The sequence below is a fragment of the Homo sapiens genome, chromosome 4 (genome assembly GCF_000001405.40).
Source record: "Homo sapiens chromosome 4, GRCh38.p14 Primary Assembly".
Taxonomy (NCBI): domain Eukaryota; kingdom Metazoa; phylum Chordata; class Mammalia; order Primates; family Hominidae; genus Homo; species Homo sapiens.
Window position 1 is genome coordinate 113,517,945 of NC_000004.12, and position 13,497 is coordinate 113,531,441.

General features: G+C 36.6%; 1 protein-coding gene across 54 annotated transcripts in view; it reads right to left on the bottom strand.

Moving 5' to 3' along the window:
• Positions 1-13,497, bottom strand: part of CAMK2D (calcium/calmodulin dependent protein kinase II delta) — a 310,707-nt gene that overhangs the window by 66,913 nt on the left and 230,297 nt on the right. For all 54 annotated transcript variants that reach the window (NM_001321578.2, NM_001321577.2, XM_017008674.3 and 51 more), the window contains one exon: positions 13,272-13,355. In NM_001321578.2, the coding sequence (NP_001308507.1) occupies positions 13,272-13,284 (13 nt within the window). In that variant the 5' untranslated portion in view covers positions 13,285-13,355. The remainder of the gene's footprint in view (positions 1-13,271; positions 13,356-13,497) is intronic.

The following is a 13,497-nucleotide window of genomic DNA, read 5'->3' on the forward strand; positions in this document are numbered from 1 at the left end:
CCCCTGAACTCTTGTCTATAGAGGGTCTTACTGCATTCTTATCTATATAGAGACTATGATTTTAGTCACTGTGAGGTTGAAGTTTAAAAACTAAGCATGTTTTTTATTTCCTCATACTTGTTTTGATGGTCATTGGGACATTTTGTTGAGTGATGGTGTCCTGGTTATAAATCCACGTTCTAAATAACCATAGTCCCTGCAAATGTGGGTACCCCATAGAGACAAAACCCTTTTCTTTTCAGTAATCTTAGTCTTCAAATACTTCAAGCCTTCTCAGTCAAACAACTAAACCAACAAGACTACAGAAGAATATATATTATGGGAGAGGAAAAAGGGAGAGAAGGGAGAAATTCCACAGAAAATTCAAAGTAATAATAACAATAAACACATGGCTGTAATAAAATTTGCTAAAATTTTTCACAAACATAATTATTTATAAATTAACCAAAATCTAATTTCACTTTTAAAATTAAAAAAATTCTGTATTCACAGTTTGTAAATTTCCCTGAAATCATATCTGCAGTCTAAATGTCTGAGATTGTTTTGATACAGTGGTCTTCTCTGTCATCAAATATCTCTCCTGCCACTTTTCACGTATTTTATTGCCTTGCTTAAGGCCTTTGGTTTCTTTCCTAGCTCATTATCCTGGAGGAAGGCAGTCATTCCTCTGACCTCTCCTGTTTGCTTTTTTCTTGCTATGTTTCCTTAAGCCTAGGAAACCTGAGAAGAAGAGTAAGACAGGTGACACTTTGCCAGGTGTACCCTGAGACTTATTTTTTCCCTTATCCAAGGTGGTCTCTTGGTCTCTGTACCTAGGAGATCTATCCCTGCTCCTGTCCAGCAGTCTGGACATCTTTATACAATAGACACTGTAGCAGCTGAAATGGTTTTTAAGCAATGGTTTAATCATCTTAGAATTTTATAGCCTGCTTCAGGAAGATACAGTTCATAAGCAGATTTTTTAAGTCATGTGAATCAATACAAGGATAAAAAATTTTAAACAACATTCTTAAGGAAAAAAAAAAGACCATGAAGAAAACCACAGTATATTGGTACCTCACCTTCATGACATAAAAATAATTTTTCCATACATCTAATGAAAATGATGATAGTAATGATGATGATGAGTGTTTCTCTTTGTGTTCTCAGGAGGCAAGTAGAAAAAAAGCTGTACCTGAGTAGTTTTAGCCCTCAGCTATATAAGGTTCCAGGAGGTTAAGAAGAAAATTTGCTTTGTAATAGTGATAGTTTCCATTGAATATGAACATTTTCCTAATACACATCTGGAATTAGGCTGTTATAGAATTATGAAATAGTGGCTCAACTGAGACATTTAGCATTCTCAACATAGGCTGTTTGTCCTTATGAATTATGTCTGCAGTTGACAGTTGATGTGGTGCTTCTCTGGGAAGAGGAAGCTCACAGAGGGCTCATTCCATGAGAAAAGCAGGCAATATGTAATAGATGCCCACAATTTAGCTGTTTGATGGAGGAGTGTTTACAAAAACATGTACTTTAAATAAAATAATAGCATAAATGTGAAGATTAAAAAAAACACTTTTAGGCCCAAAGACTTAAAAAAAAAACATATTATAGGTGCTATTGACTAGCCTGATGTGAAATTGTCAGTGCCTATTTAAATAAACACCGTTTTGTAAGTTTACTTCAACTTGATTATTAAACAAGCATCTAAAACCTTTCTGAGTTATGCTATTTTGTAGTTCTATTTTCTGAATGTATAGAACAAGTATGAGACTCATGGCATAAGGATAATGTAATACTAATAAATTTTATTGTAGATAACATTTATTCAGAGTTATGTGTGCTTTAATGCATTATCTCATTTAATCCTTGTATAATGCTATGAGGTAGATATTGTTATTATCTGCATTATATTATAGATGAAGAAACAGGCTGAGAGATTAAGTAACTGTTTCAACCACAAGCAGGACAGACATAATGATGCTCTAAACATTCCCTGCAGCCACTTTTTCTTTATCTATGAACTTTAGTAGGAATGATAATATAAAATTTAAAACTTTGTGTTGTCTAACTGAGAGACCTTGACATACTAGCAAAGATGTCCATTTGGTCCTATCTTAAATGTTCCTTGCAGCTACTTTTTCCTTTAGCTAGGTCCTCTAAACAAATGCTTATTTTAAAAGTGTTTGTTGTTCTAGGCCGGGCGTGGTGGCTCACACCTGTAATCCAAGCACTTTGGGAGGCCAAAACGGGCAAATCACCTGAGGTCAGGTGATCACGACCAGCCTGGCCAACATGGTGAAACCCTGTCTCTACTAAAAATACAAAAAAATTAACCGGGCATGGTGGCACATGCCTTTAGTCTCAGCTACTCGGGAGGCTGAGGCAGGAGAATCGCTTCAACTCAGGAGGTGGAGGTTGCAGTGAGCCAAGGTCGTGCCACTGAATTCTACCAGCCTAGGTGACAGAGTCTTGTGACTCTGCCTCAAAAATAAAAATAAAATAAAATAAAATAAAAGTGTTTGTTGTTCTAATTGAGTTCTTGCCTCATGAGTAAGCCCAATTTATCTTTTTAATAAACCTAAATTTTACCTTTTTTCTATGTCAGAGAAAAAAGAAAGGAAAAAATCACTAGCTCTTTTTCTTTGCCCATATACCTAAAGTACTAAAATCATTAAAAGTCAATGAAGAAGTCTTTTTTTTGCGAGACCACTTGAGGGGTGATGATGTGACCTCCAAATGTTGGGTATCTCTCATGACACTAGCAGCCTTTTATGATTACTGCCTACATAATTTTACTGGGGTTGCAAAATAATGATGGCTGGGCATGGTGGCTCACACCTATAATCCCAGCACTTTGGGAGGCTGATGTAGGAGGATCACTTGAGCCCAGGAGTTCAAGATTAGCCTAGCCAACATAGCAAGACCCTGTCTCTTCCAAAAATAGAAAAATTTAGCCAGGTGTGGTGGAATGCACAGCTAGTCCCAGCCACTTGGGAGGCTGAGGTGGGAAGATCACTTGAGCCCAGGAGTTCGAGGCCACAGTGAACCATGATCACATCACTGCATTCCAGCCTGGGCAACAGAGTGAGACTCACAAACAAACAAACAAAATGATGATACTCTAATTATATCATGCTTTCTTTAGACTAAGAAAATCTTGCTCCTTATCCACTTGGTTGGCCTAAGATACAGTTCATATAGGAAAGATAGGCTATTATTTATTTATTTTCCTCTTTACTAGCCAGTTTTTAAAATAACGCATTGGCTCCCCAACATCCCCCAAAGGTTAGGACTTCTGTTGAATTTTGATTATCATTATCAATTCCTGGATTTAAACTTACTTGATGTATTTCAATCTATTATGTTATTTTTCTTATTGATTCTCAATTGCCCCATCTTTGGCTAGTGCCAGCCTCCTCAAAGTGGTTCCTGCATCTGTTAATATAAACTCTGTGGTCCTTAATAGTTTTTCTTTGTGGTATGACAAGATGCTCCTGGATCATCTTGCTTTTTTCCTGTTCTAAACTTGAAATCAGCTGCTATTACAGAAAGTTCTGGTTCCTTTTAATGGTAAATAGTATCTAGAGACCAAGATTGAGCACTTACATGTGCTGTCTTGGAGCTACAGTTTTCTTTGAAAAATAAATCAAGAAATAAGGAGACAGAAGAGAGAATGGAGCAAAAATTACAAATTAAGAATGACTAAGAGACCTAAGAGACCAAACAAGATTATGACAGGAGAGGATAAATAGGAAAATGACTAGATATTTTGATGTTACTAAGCAATAATTATTAAAATTTTAAAACTAATATTACTGTCATATTTAGAGTCCTTTTCTTTTAGAGATATACTTTAAAATATTTATAGATGTATTGATACAATGTTTCAATTTGGTTAAGATAATATTGGAGTGGGAAATGAAAGGGAGGAAATAGATGAAATAAGATTAGCCATCAGTTTATTATAGTATTCTCTCCATTTTATGTTTCACATGTTCCATGACAAACAGTTAAAACTATTTTTGATAGAGTTGGTTCCATATACAGGTAGATATTAAAACTAGTTTTCCTTATCTTATGTATATATTTGTGCTTGGGAGATGCTAGAGATGTCCGGTTAATAAGACTTTTGAGAAGCACTGATTACAATTAGGTAGAAAGACTATATCATCGAGAACATTCAAAATTGATTTTAATAAAAGTTAATGTTAAAAAAGTTGTTAAACCTATAATCTTGTTAATAATTAAACATTCTAAATGCTGTTCTTACAAAAGGAGAGATGAAGAAGGAATGTTGGAGAACTCTGAGAAGATAGTAGGAAGTTAATGGAAGAATCTAAGACAGTTACTGAATATTCTAAGTAAATAAAGGGGTACATTATAAACTTATAAGCAAAATGCATGTGGAACTTGGAAGTACACAATTAATTACATGAGTGATAAGTATGGCTCTCTCTTACCTTGTTGTAGTATGATTAATGGAAAATCATCATACATTTCAAGTAGAGAAAGTGCTCAACTAACACTCTGACCTAAATGGCCAATGAAGGGCAGAACAAAGAGCTAGAAGATCAATGCCAGCAAGATAGGAAGGCATGTTTCAGAGGATGGAAACTATCTATGCCATGTAGTAGGAGTGGCAAACTGACAGGCCTTTTGGCAGCAGGCAGGGATGAAGGCCTGCACCTGTACTGTGTATGGGGTGGGGTGGTCACCAGGGCGGCAGCTGTGTTCATGTGTCTGACAGGTACAATTACTATAAAAGAGCAAAAGCATTGCATCACCTGTTCTTTTGATTATTTTAGAGAAGCAAGAAACTGATAGTTTTTATAGAAATTACTTGCTAATAAATTATAAAGATAAATAATTAACATCAACACTCATAAGAATAAAATGTCCGCATGTCTGACTAAGACAGCAGACTGCCTGCAATGGAGAGAATGTTTGTACGGCTCTCAAAATTCATATGTTGACATCCAAATCCCAATGTGATGGTATTTGGTGTGGTGGGGCCTTTGGGAGATATTTAGTCCATGAGGATGGGTCCCTCATGAACAGGAACAGCACCCTTTTAAGAAGACGGCAGCTAGCTAGCTAGCTCTCTTAACTACCATGTGAGGATACAACAAAAAGTTGGCAGTCTGTAACCCTGAAGAGGGCCCTCACCAAAACCTGACCTGACTATGGTGGCACCCTGATCACAGACTTCCAGCTTCCAGAACTATGAGAAAGAAATTTCGTTGTTTATAAGCCACGCAGTCTATGTGACTTTGTTATAGCAGCCTGAACTAAGACTTCACCTGTTTGCAACCTCTGACATATCCTGTAATAATCCTAAAAACTGCTCTCCTAAAGGAATCTGAAATTAGCTGTGGTAGTATTGCTTAGCTTTGGTGTTGCATCAACATCACCTGGTGCGCTTGTTAAAGTGCAAATTCCTGAGCCTCACCTCAGTGAATCTTTTTTTTTTTAAATTATGCTAAAAATACCTAACATTAAATTTAAACACATGACATTAAATTGTACATAAAAAAGGTCCCGCACAGTGACTTTAAATTGTACATAAAAAAAGGTCCCACACACTTTCAATCCCAGCACTTTGGGAGGCCGAAGTGGGCAGACTGCTTGAGCTCAGGAGTTTGAGACCAGCCTGGGCAACATGGCAAAACCCTGTCTCTACAAAAAGTAAAAAATTAGCAGGGTGTGGTGGTGTGCACCTGTAGTCCCCACTACAGGGGAGGCTAAGGCAGAAGGATAACTTCTGCCTGGGAGGTGGAGGTTGCAGTGAGCTAAGATGGTGCCACTGCACCCCAGCTTGGGCAACAGAGCCAGACCCTGTCTCGAAATAAATAAATAAATAAATAAATAAACAAACAAACAAATAAATAAATAATTAGTACATAAAACAGATCTTTTTTTTTGTTGTTTTTTTGTTTTGTTTTGTTTTTTAAAGACAGGGTCTCACTCTTTTTCACCCAGGCTGAAGTGCAGTGGCATGAACATGGCTCACTGCAGCCTCAACTTCCCTGACTCAAATGATCTTCCCGGGCTCAGCCTCTCGAGCAGAGTAGCTAGGACTACGGGTGTGTGCTACCATGCCCGGCTAATTTTTTCTGTTTTTGTAGAGGTAGGGTCACACTATATGTTACCTAAGCTGGTCTCAAACTTCTGGGCTCAAGTGATTCTCCCACCTTGGCCTCCCACAGTGCTGGGATTACAGGCATCAGCCACCATGTCCAGCCAGATGCACAATTTTTAAGTGAACAGTTTTGTAGTACTAAGTACATTTACACTGTCATGAAACAGATCTCCAGTTTGTTTTCATTTTTCAACACTGAAACTCTATATACATGAAACACTAATTTCCCCTTTCTCTCTAGTTCTTGGTAATCACCTTTCTATTTTCTGTTTCTATGAAAGTGACTGTTTTAATACTTCATGTGAGTAGAATCATAATAATATTTGTGCTTTTGTAACTGGCTTATTTTGCTTAGCATAATGTCCTTGGGGTTCATCCATGTTGTAGCACGGGACAGAATTTCCTTCTTTTTTAAGGTTGTATAATATACAATTATACGTATAAACCACATTTTGTTTAAGCTATTTATCTGTCAATGGACATTTGGGTTACTTCCACCTCCTGGTTGTTGTGAATAGTGTTACTATGATCATAGGTGTACACATATTTCTTCAAGGTGCTTCTTTCAATTCTTTTGGATATATAACCAGAAGTGGGATTGCTGCATCCTGTGGCCCCAGAGAATCTGATTCAATGGTCCTGAGGTAGATCTCAGGAGGGTGCACTTTAGGTCACTCTGAATGAACCATGTGGTTTGTGTTTCAGAGTTTGAAAAACACCAAGTTAGGGAAACCAGACATAGTAAATGTAGAGAAATTTAAGACAGTGTGTAAGTTCAGAGTAAGAGAATATTGGTAAAGACTATGATTGGGAGTAAGGCTCCATGAACTGAAGACTGTTGGAGATGTGGGTAAGAATGGATGAAGGCAGAAGGCTTCTAATCTGGAGGCCTATCTGTGATTGGCCAAGTGTAAGGTAACCTCAGAACTGGTAATAGCAACAGAATATCCAGTAGGCTTGGGATTTCAAAATGACTAAAGTAACTGATAATGACTTACACCAGCTGAAATATGAAAAGGTTAAACCCCAGAAAACACATCATTGCTGAACCTAAATTCACCACACAAGAAAAGAAGAAACATATTCCATAAAATTCCCAAGGTTTGTCCGAAGTCAAGGTACATTTGTGACAGCCACTAATTTATTATCACTCATAACTGTTGAGAGTGATACCTAAGTAAGGCAGAAAAGTAGCAAGACAACACATATGTACATAGGGTGCGGGAGAGACCTATGTTATAGGCTTGCATTTATTTATTTATTTTTAGGCCAAATTGTAGAAGAAGCTCTGTTAGAAATTTGTGATCCAGTGACATCCACAAACATTTCCTCATCCCATTAGGAAATTATGGAAGCAGTTATACATACAATTAAGTCATAAAAATCAATTTACTGCTGTTAATGGCAGAACACAAGGCTATGTTCTTGCTTCATTAATGTTTATTATTTGCTTTCCAGTAATGGAATAGTTGCTTCCAAAGAGAGAGTACAGGTCAGACCATACTCTGTGTGCGATCACAAAAGCAAGGTAATGTTGGAATTCGAGATTTCCTGTGTGCAGATAATTGCATGATTCTAATAAAAATAATGTACAGGCTTGTTTTAGTCATTATACCAATGCCCTGCTTCACTCTGCTCTGCTGTAATGAGGGTTCAGAGCTTAATTCATATAGAAGGCTAGCTGCCTTTCTGCTAAATGGCTTGTTTTGCATTTCTTTTGTTTTCTGAGTAGTGTAATTTTTTACCACTCAACCCAGTGTCTACTCTTGAAAATAAGTCACTACTTAATTGGCAAGAGACAGTGCTAATGAATGGCTAAAAAAGAGTTTCCCTCAGGATAAGCCACAACCTAAAAGCAACCAAATAGTGTGTCCATTACTGTGGTGGTGATTACAATGATGATGAGTTTAAGGGTACATCACCTTACAAATAAAGTGAATTAATGTCACTTTCATGTCACACGAGTGAGGTGATATATAATAAAATGGTAAAACAATTCCAAATCCCACAACAATGACCAAGATATGTAACAAAAGAATACATTATAATGTTCTAGTGGGAGTCATTTCCCCTCAACATGTGATATTAGAACACTTAAGACATTTTCATAGCTGTGTGATCTCAAGTGCATTTCTAGACAAAGCGTCCACACAGTCTCTAAAGAAATGGAAATTGGTGGCACATACATGCTCCAACTGGGGCAAGGCTCATCACAAAGGAATTTGGCTGTTTGCATAATATTATGTGAAGAAAGGATACAATATAGCAAGGTGAAAGGTGGCAAAATTGGGGTTAAAAATCTATGAGATGCCCTATGGCTATAAGTTTCTAAGGAGTCATTCTTGATGTGTGTGTGTGTGTGTGTGTGTGTGTGTGCATGCATGTATGCACATGTGTACGTAGTATCTATCTAATATTTGCTTAACACCTAACAAAATGTTATATAGTTTAGAAAACAAAGATGGAAACTACTCTCTACCTATCCTTTTTCCCTCTTCCAGACAAGAAAGTTAGAGCTTCTAACTTATAAGTTCTCTCACATTTCACAGATATGAAATCTCACTATTATAAGATATTCCATTATTTTAAAAGGTTAGATATATGAACTGTATTACAGAAATGTACTCAGACAATCCACATAAAATCAAATATTCCAAAGTAATATTAAAATTGAACATAGTGTGTTTTGTGAGTCTAAGACAGTGAATCCAAACTCTGATAATACATCATAGGTTATTAAAAATGCAGTTGCCTGTGTTTACCACAGATCCACTAAAGCAGAGGCCCATGCAGGATCTGGGCATTTTGATAGAAAGGCATATGTGGTTTTACTGTGCTTTTTTTTTTTTTTTTTTACTGTACTTTGCAGATATTGCATTTTTTACACACTGAAGGTTTATGATAACCCTGCATTGAGAAAGTCTGTGGTGCCATTTTCCTAACAACTTGGGTTCACTTTGTGTCTCTGTGTCACATTTTGGTGAGTACTGCAATATTTCATGAAAGGAAGAGTTAACTGATGTGGCAAACTTCATTGTTGTCTTATTTTCAGAAATTATCACAGCTTCCCCAACCTTTAGCAACAACTATCCTGATAAGTCAACAGCCATCAACACTGAGGCAAGACTCTTCAGCAAAAATATTGCAACTTGCTGAAGACTCAGATGATGATGATGATATTTTAGCAATACAGTTTTTTTTTTTCTTTTTTCTTTTTGTAGAGATGGGTCATCCTATGTTGCCCAGGCTGGTCTCAAACTCTTGGACTCAAGATCCTCCTGGGTTGGCCTCCCATAATGCAAAGATTACAGGCATGAGTCACTGGGCCTGGCTATTTTAAAGTATTTTTTAGGTAAGGTATGTGCATTTAGACATAATGCTATCGTATACTTAATAGACTATAGTACACTGTAAACATAACTTCTATATGTACTGGGAAACCAAACAATTTGTGTGACTCACTTTATTTTGATATTTGTTCTATTGTGAGACCAGAAATTAAACCCATAATATCTCTGAGGTTTGCCTGTATATGCTTCATCATTGATTTTTCTGCACAGCCAGAGAAGAATCCCTAGCATAAACTATTAGCTTTTTGGGTTTCTTTTTAGTGGATCTGATATTCTTCAACACCAATAAAACTTATACATTATAAAAAAAGGTTTTAAATTTTCAAAAAATTCTTAATTTTTTTGGATTGACAAATTATGATTGAATACATTTATGGGGTATAATATGATGTTTTGATATTTACAGATATACAATGTGGCATAATTAAATAGAGCTAACTCACCTATCTATCACCTCACTTGTCTATCATTTTTTATGGTGACACATTTGAAACATGAAAAAATGTTTTCGATATAAGAACAAATGAATAATTTATTTAAATTCTTTGGCAGAGTAAAATATGATTCAGAAGCTGTGAAATCTGTCCATAATAACACCTTTTACAAAATAAAACAAGGGAAAATAATTTAAAAGTAAAGAAAGAAAGCAGAGAGAGGGAGAGAGAGAATTTGGTATTCAGGTCATCAGATGAGGGCATTCTACTGATAATCACGCCAATAATGCTGAGTTATATAATACACTTTGTTTTTTAAGCCTACTATAATGCATATATCAGTTATCTAGAAACTTCATTTATAAATAAAGACTTTGTATAATAATAGCAATGATAACTATCACTTACTGTATTTAAAAAATCCTCTCTGCAGTCCCATGAGGCAAGAACTTTGATGATCTCCATTTCTAAGAGGGAACTGAGACACAGGGACTAAAGAATTTGTGCCATGTCATACAGCAAGTGAACTGAGAAGCTAAGTGTGTTCTCTTAACCACTATACATACTGCCTCTTACCTATGAAGTAGACAGGAGGGATGAAGAAAAAAAGTAGAAAATAGGAAGGAAACTAGGAAAACAAGGAGAGATAAACACAAAGGCAGAAGAGGCTGGAAAAGGCCTTTGATGAAGCAGGCAAAGAAAGAGTATGAAATGTCCCTTATGCTGAGTCCTGCTTCCCTTGGTTACTGACTATTGTATGCCACACTATCCCTCTAGTGTTCAAGGTCCAAATGCAGCGTTTTAGCTACAACCCCCTATCTTTACAAAAATATAGCTTTATCATGTTTTAAAAATACTTTAAAAAATATGATTGTATCCTTCACAAAACCTGTCTGTGTCTGCCTGAGTCTCAGGCCACTCTGTTGCTTTTTAAATTCATCAGCAGAAACAGATCTATGTATGCTGGGAGCTGATTTATTGCAAGGAAAATATCTGAGATATCTTCCATTAACATTTAGATTTGAACAAAGATATTTTGTGACAATGCTCTAATTCAAGGCATTTTAGAGTTCATGCCTTAGAGTTCATGCTTAGAAGATACTCTCAGGTAGGTAGCAGGAAGACAGAGCTTGGGGCATTCCTAAGACCTTACCCATTAATTAAGTAGCAATTGTCAATTGTCTTCCTTTAAAGTGCACTGCATTTGACCCTCCTACAATTCAATGAGGGTAACATATTCCTATTTTACAGGTAAAGAAACCAACTCAGATATATTAAAGAGACTGGGTTAGTAGGTAAAACGTAAAGACTGAACCCCAGGGGTTGAAACTATAAATATAGTGCCCTATTTTACCACTGCCTTCCCAGGCATGGAGGTAACTCTGAAAGCCCAAGATTCAATCAGTTTAAGATCAAACATCAAGTTGTTACCAAAGAGGTAAAGCTGACAAGAAATATAGTGAGGAACAGCCTATCACTATAAAGTAGTGATGATGAATTTATTAACTTTTTAAACTAAAACAAGTCTAAAAAATTATTTTCAGAATCAAGTAAAGTTTTTTAAATCAACTTTTCCAAGCTTGCTGACAAACACCAAAGGCACTGAAATCTGTCTGCAGCACACTAAAGCCAAACTATGATAGTTAGGTATCTACTTGTAGGCTGGTAGCAATGACATAGTATCAGGAATTTAGGTGATTATGTTGATAATCTTAGTAGGGTAATGTTGCAGCATTCTTTCAGTCTTTCCTGTATTCAAAATATATGTTGAAACATAAAAATTCCATTATAAAAACTGTGGGTGAAAATCCTCCCCATTATATGTCTTTGGGCCTGCATAGGATACTGTTTTTGATTTGAGTTGGCTGATAGAGGCCTAAATCAGACTTCTGTCCCCTCGGGATGGTCAATTTCATTATTTTCCAATATTTACTAGTTCACTCTTAAACTCTGCCAAGTATCATGGGCAAACATAATACTTATTGGAAGGACTGGCTGGATCCATTGAGAAGATAGCAGCATAAATACATAACCACTAGGAGCAATGCTCCACATCCCTGTTATCAAAGTGTTCCAGAAAATGGCAGCATTAGCATCACCTGAGAGTTTGTTAAAAAGGTAAAAGTTTCTATCCTGGATATACTGAATCAGAAACACAGCAATCTGTCATTTAAACAGCTGTCCATGTAATCTTGCTGTAGACTGAGGTTTGAGAACTTCTACTGTAAGTCGATCACTAGAGAATATCAACTTCAAATTTAAAAGATATTACAGGGTGAGTATCCCTTATCCAAAATGCTAAGGACCAGAAATGTTTCAGATTTTGGATTTTTTCAGATTTTGTAGTATTTATACATACATAATAAGATATCTTGGGGATGAGACCCATGTCTAAACATGAAATTCATTTATGTTTTATACACATCTAAACACATAGCCTGAAGGTAATTTTATGAAATATTTTAAATATTTTTTAGCATAAGATAAAGTTTGGACTGTGTCTGACTGCAACCCATCACATGAGGTCAGGTGCAGAATTTTCCACATGTGGCAATCAACGTTGGCACTCAAAACGTTTTGGATTTTGGAAGCATTTTAAATTTCAGATTTTTTGATTAGGGATGTTCAACTTGTATTTTAAATTATAAAAATTGTGGTTGTTATAGACAATATTTGTGTCCCTCATAAAATGCATGTGTTAAAATCCTAACTCCTAATATGATGGAAGGAAGGAAAGTGAGGTCTTTGGTAGGATGGAGGCCTCATGAATGGGATTAATGCTCTTATAAAAGAGACCCTGGGAGCCCCCTCTCTGTTTCTGCCATGTGAAGACACAAAGAGAGGATAACTCTCTATAAAACTAAAAGCAGGCCCTCACCAGACACCGAATCTCCTGGCACCTTGATTTTGAATTTCCCAGCCTTCACAACTGTGAGAAATAAATTTTTGTGGCCAGGCATGCTGGCTCACACCTGTAATCCCAGCACTTTGAGAGGCTGAGGCAGGTGGATCACCTGAGGCAGGAGTTCAAGACCAGCCTGGCCATCATGGTGAAACCCTGTCTCTACTAAAAATACAGAAATTAGCCATGCATGGTTGCACGTGCCTGTAATCCCAGCAACTCAGGAGGCTGAGGCAGGAGAATTGCTTAAACCTGGGAGGCAGAGGTTGCAGTGAGCCGGGATTGTACCACTGCACTCCAGCCTGGGCGACAGAGCAAGACACTGTATCAAAATAAATAAATAAATAAGAAATACATTTTTGTTATTTAACCCACTTGGTCTATGACAGATTGTTATAGCAGACCAAATGGACTAAGACACTAGCTTATCACAAAATTTGCTTCAAAATATAATTGCTTACCACATGCCCACATATCCACTGGCTTTCCATAAGGATCTTTACGTAAAACTTCTGGAGAAAGATATCCAGGTGTGCCAGCAAAACCTAGGGAAAAGAGATGTTAATGAGTCACAGTTGATTTGACAAAACAATATGAAATGGGAAACTAAGAAAGAAAAATATCGGGGGCTTCTTTATCTGATTATATGTTTTTCAAAACACAACAAGGTTCTCAGAGCAATAAATA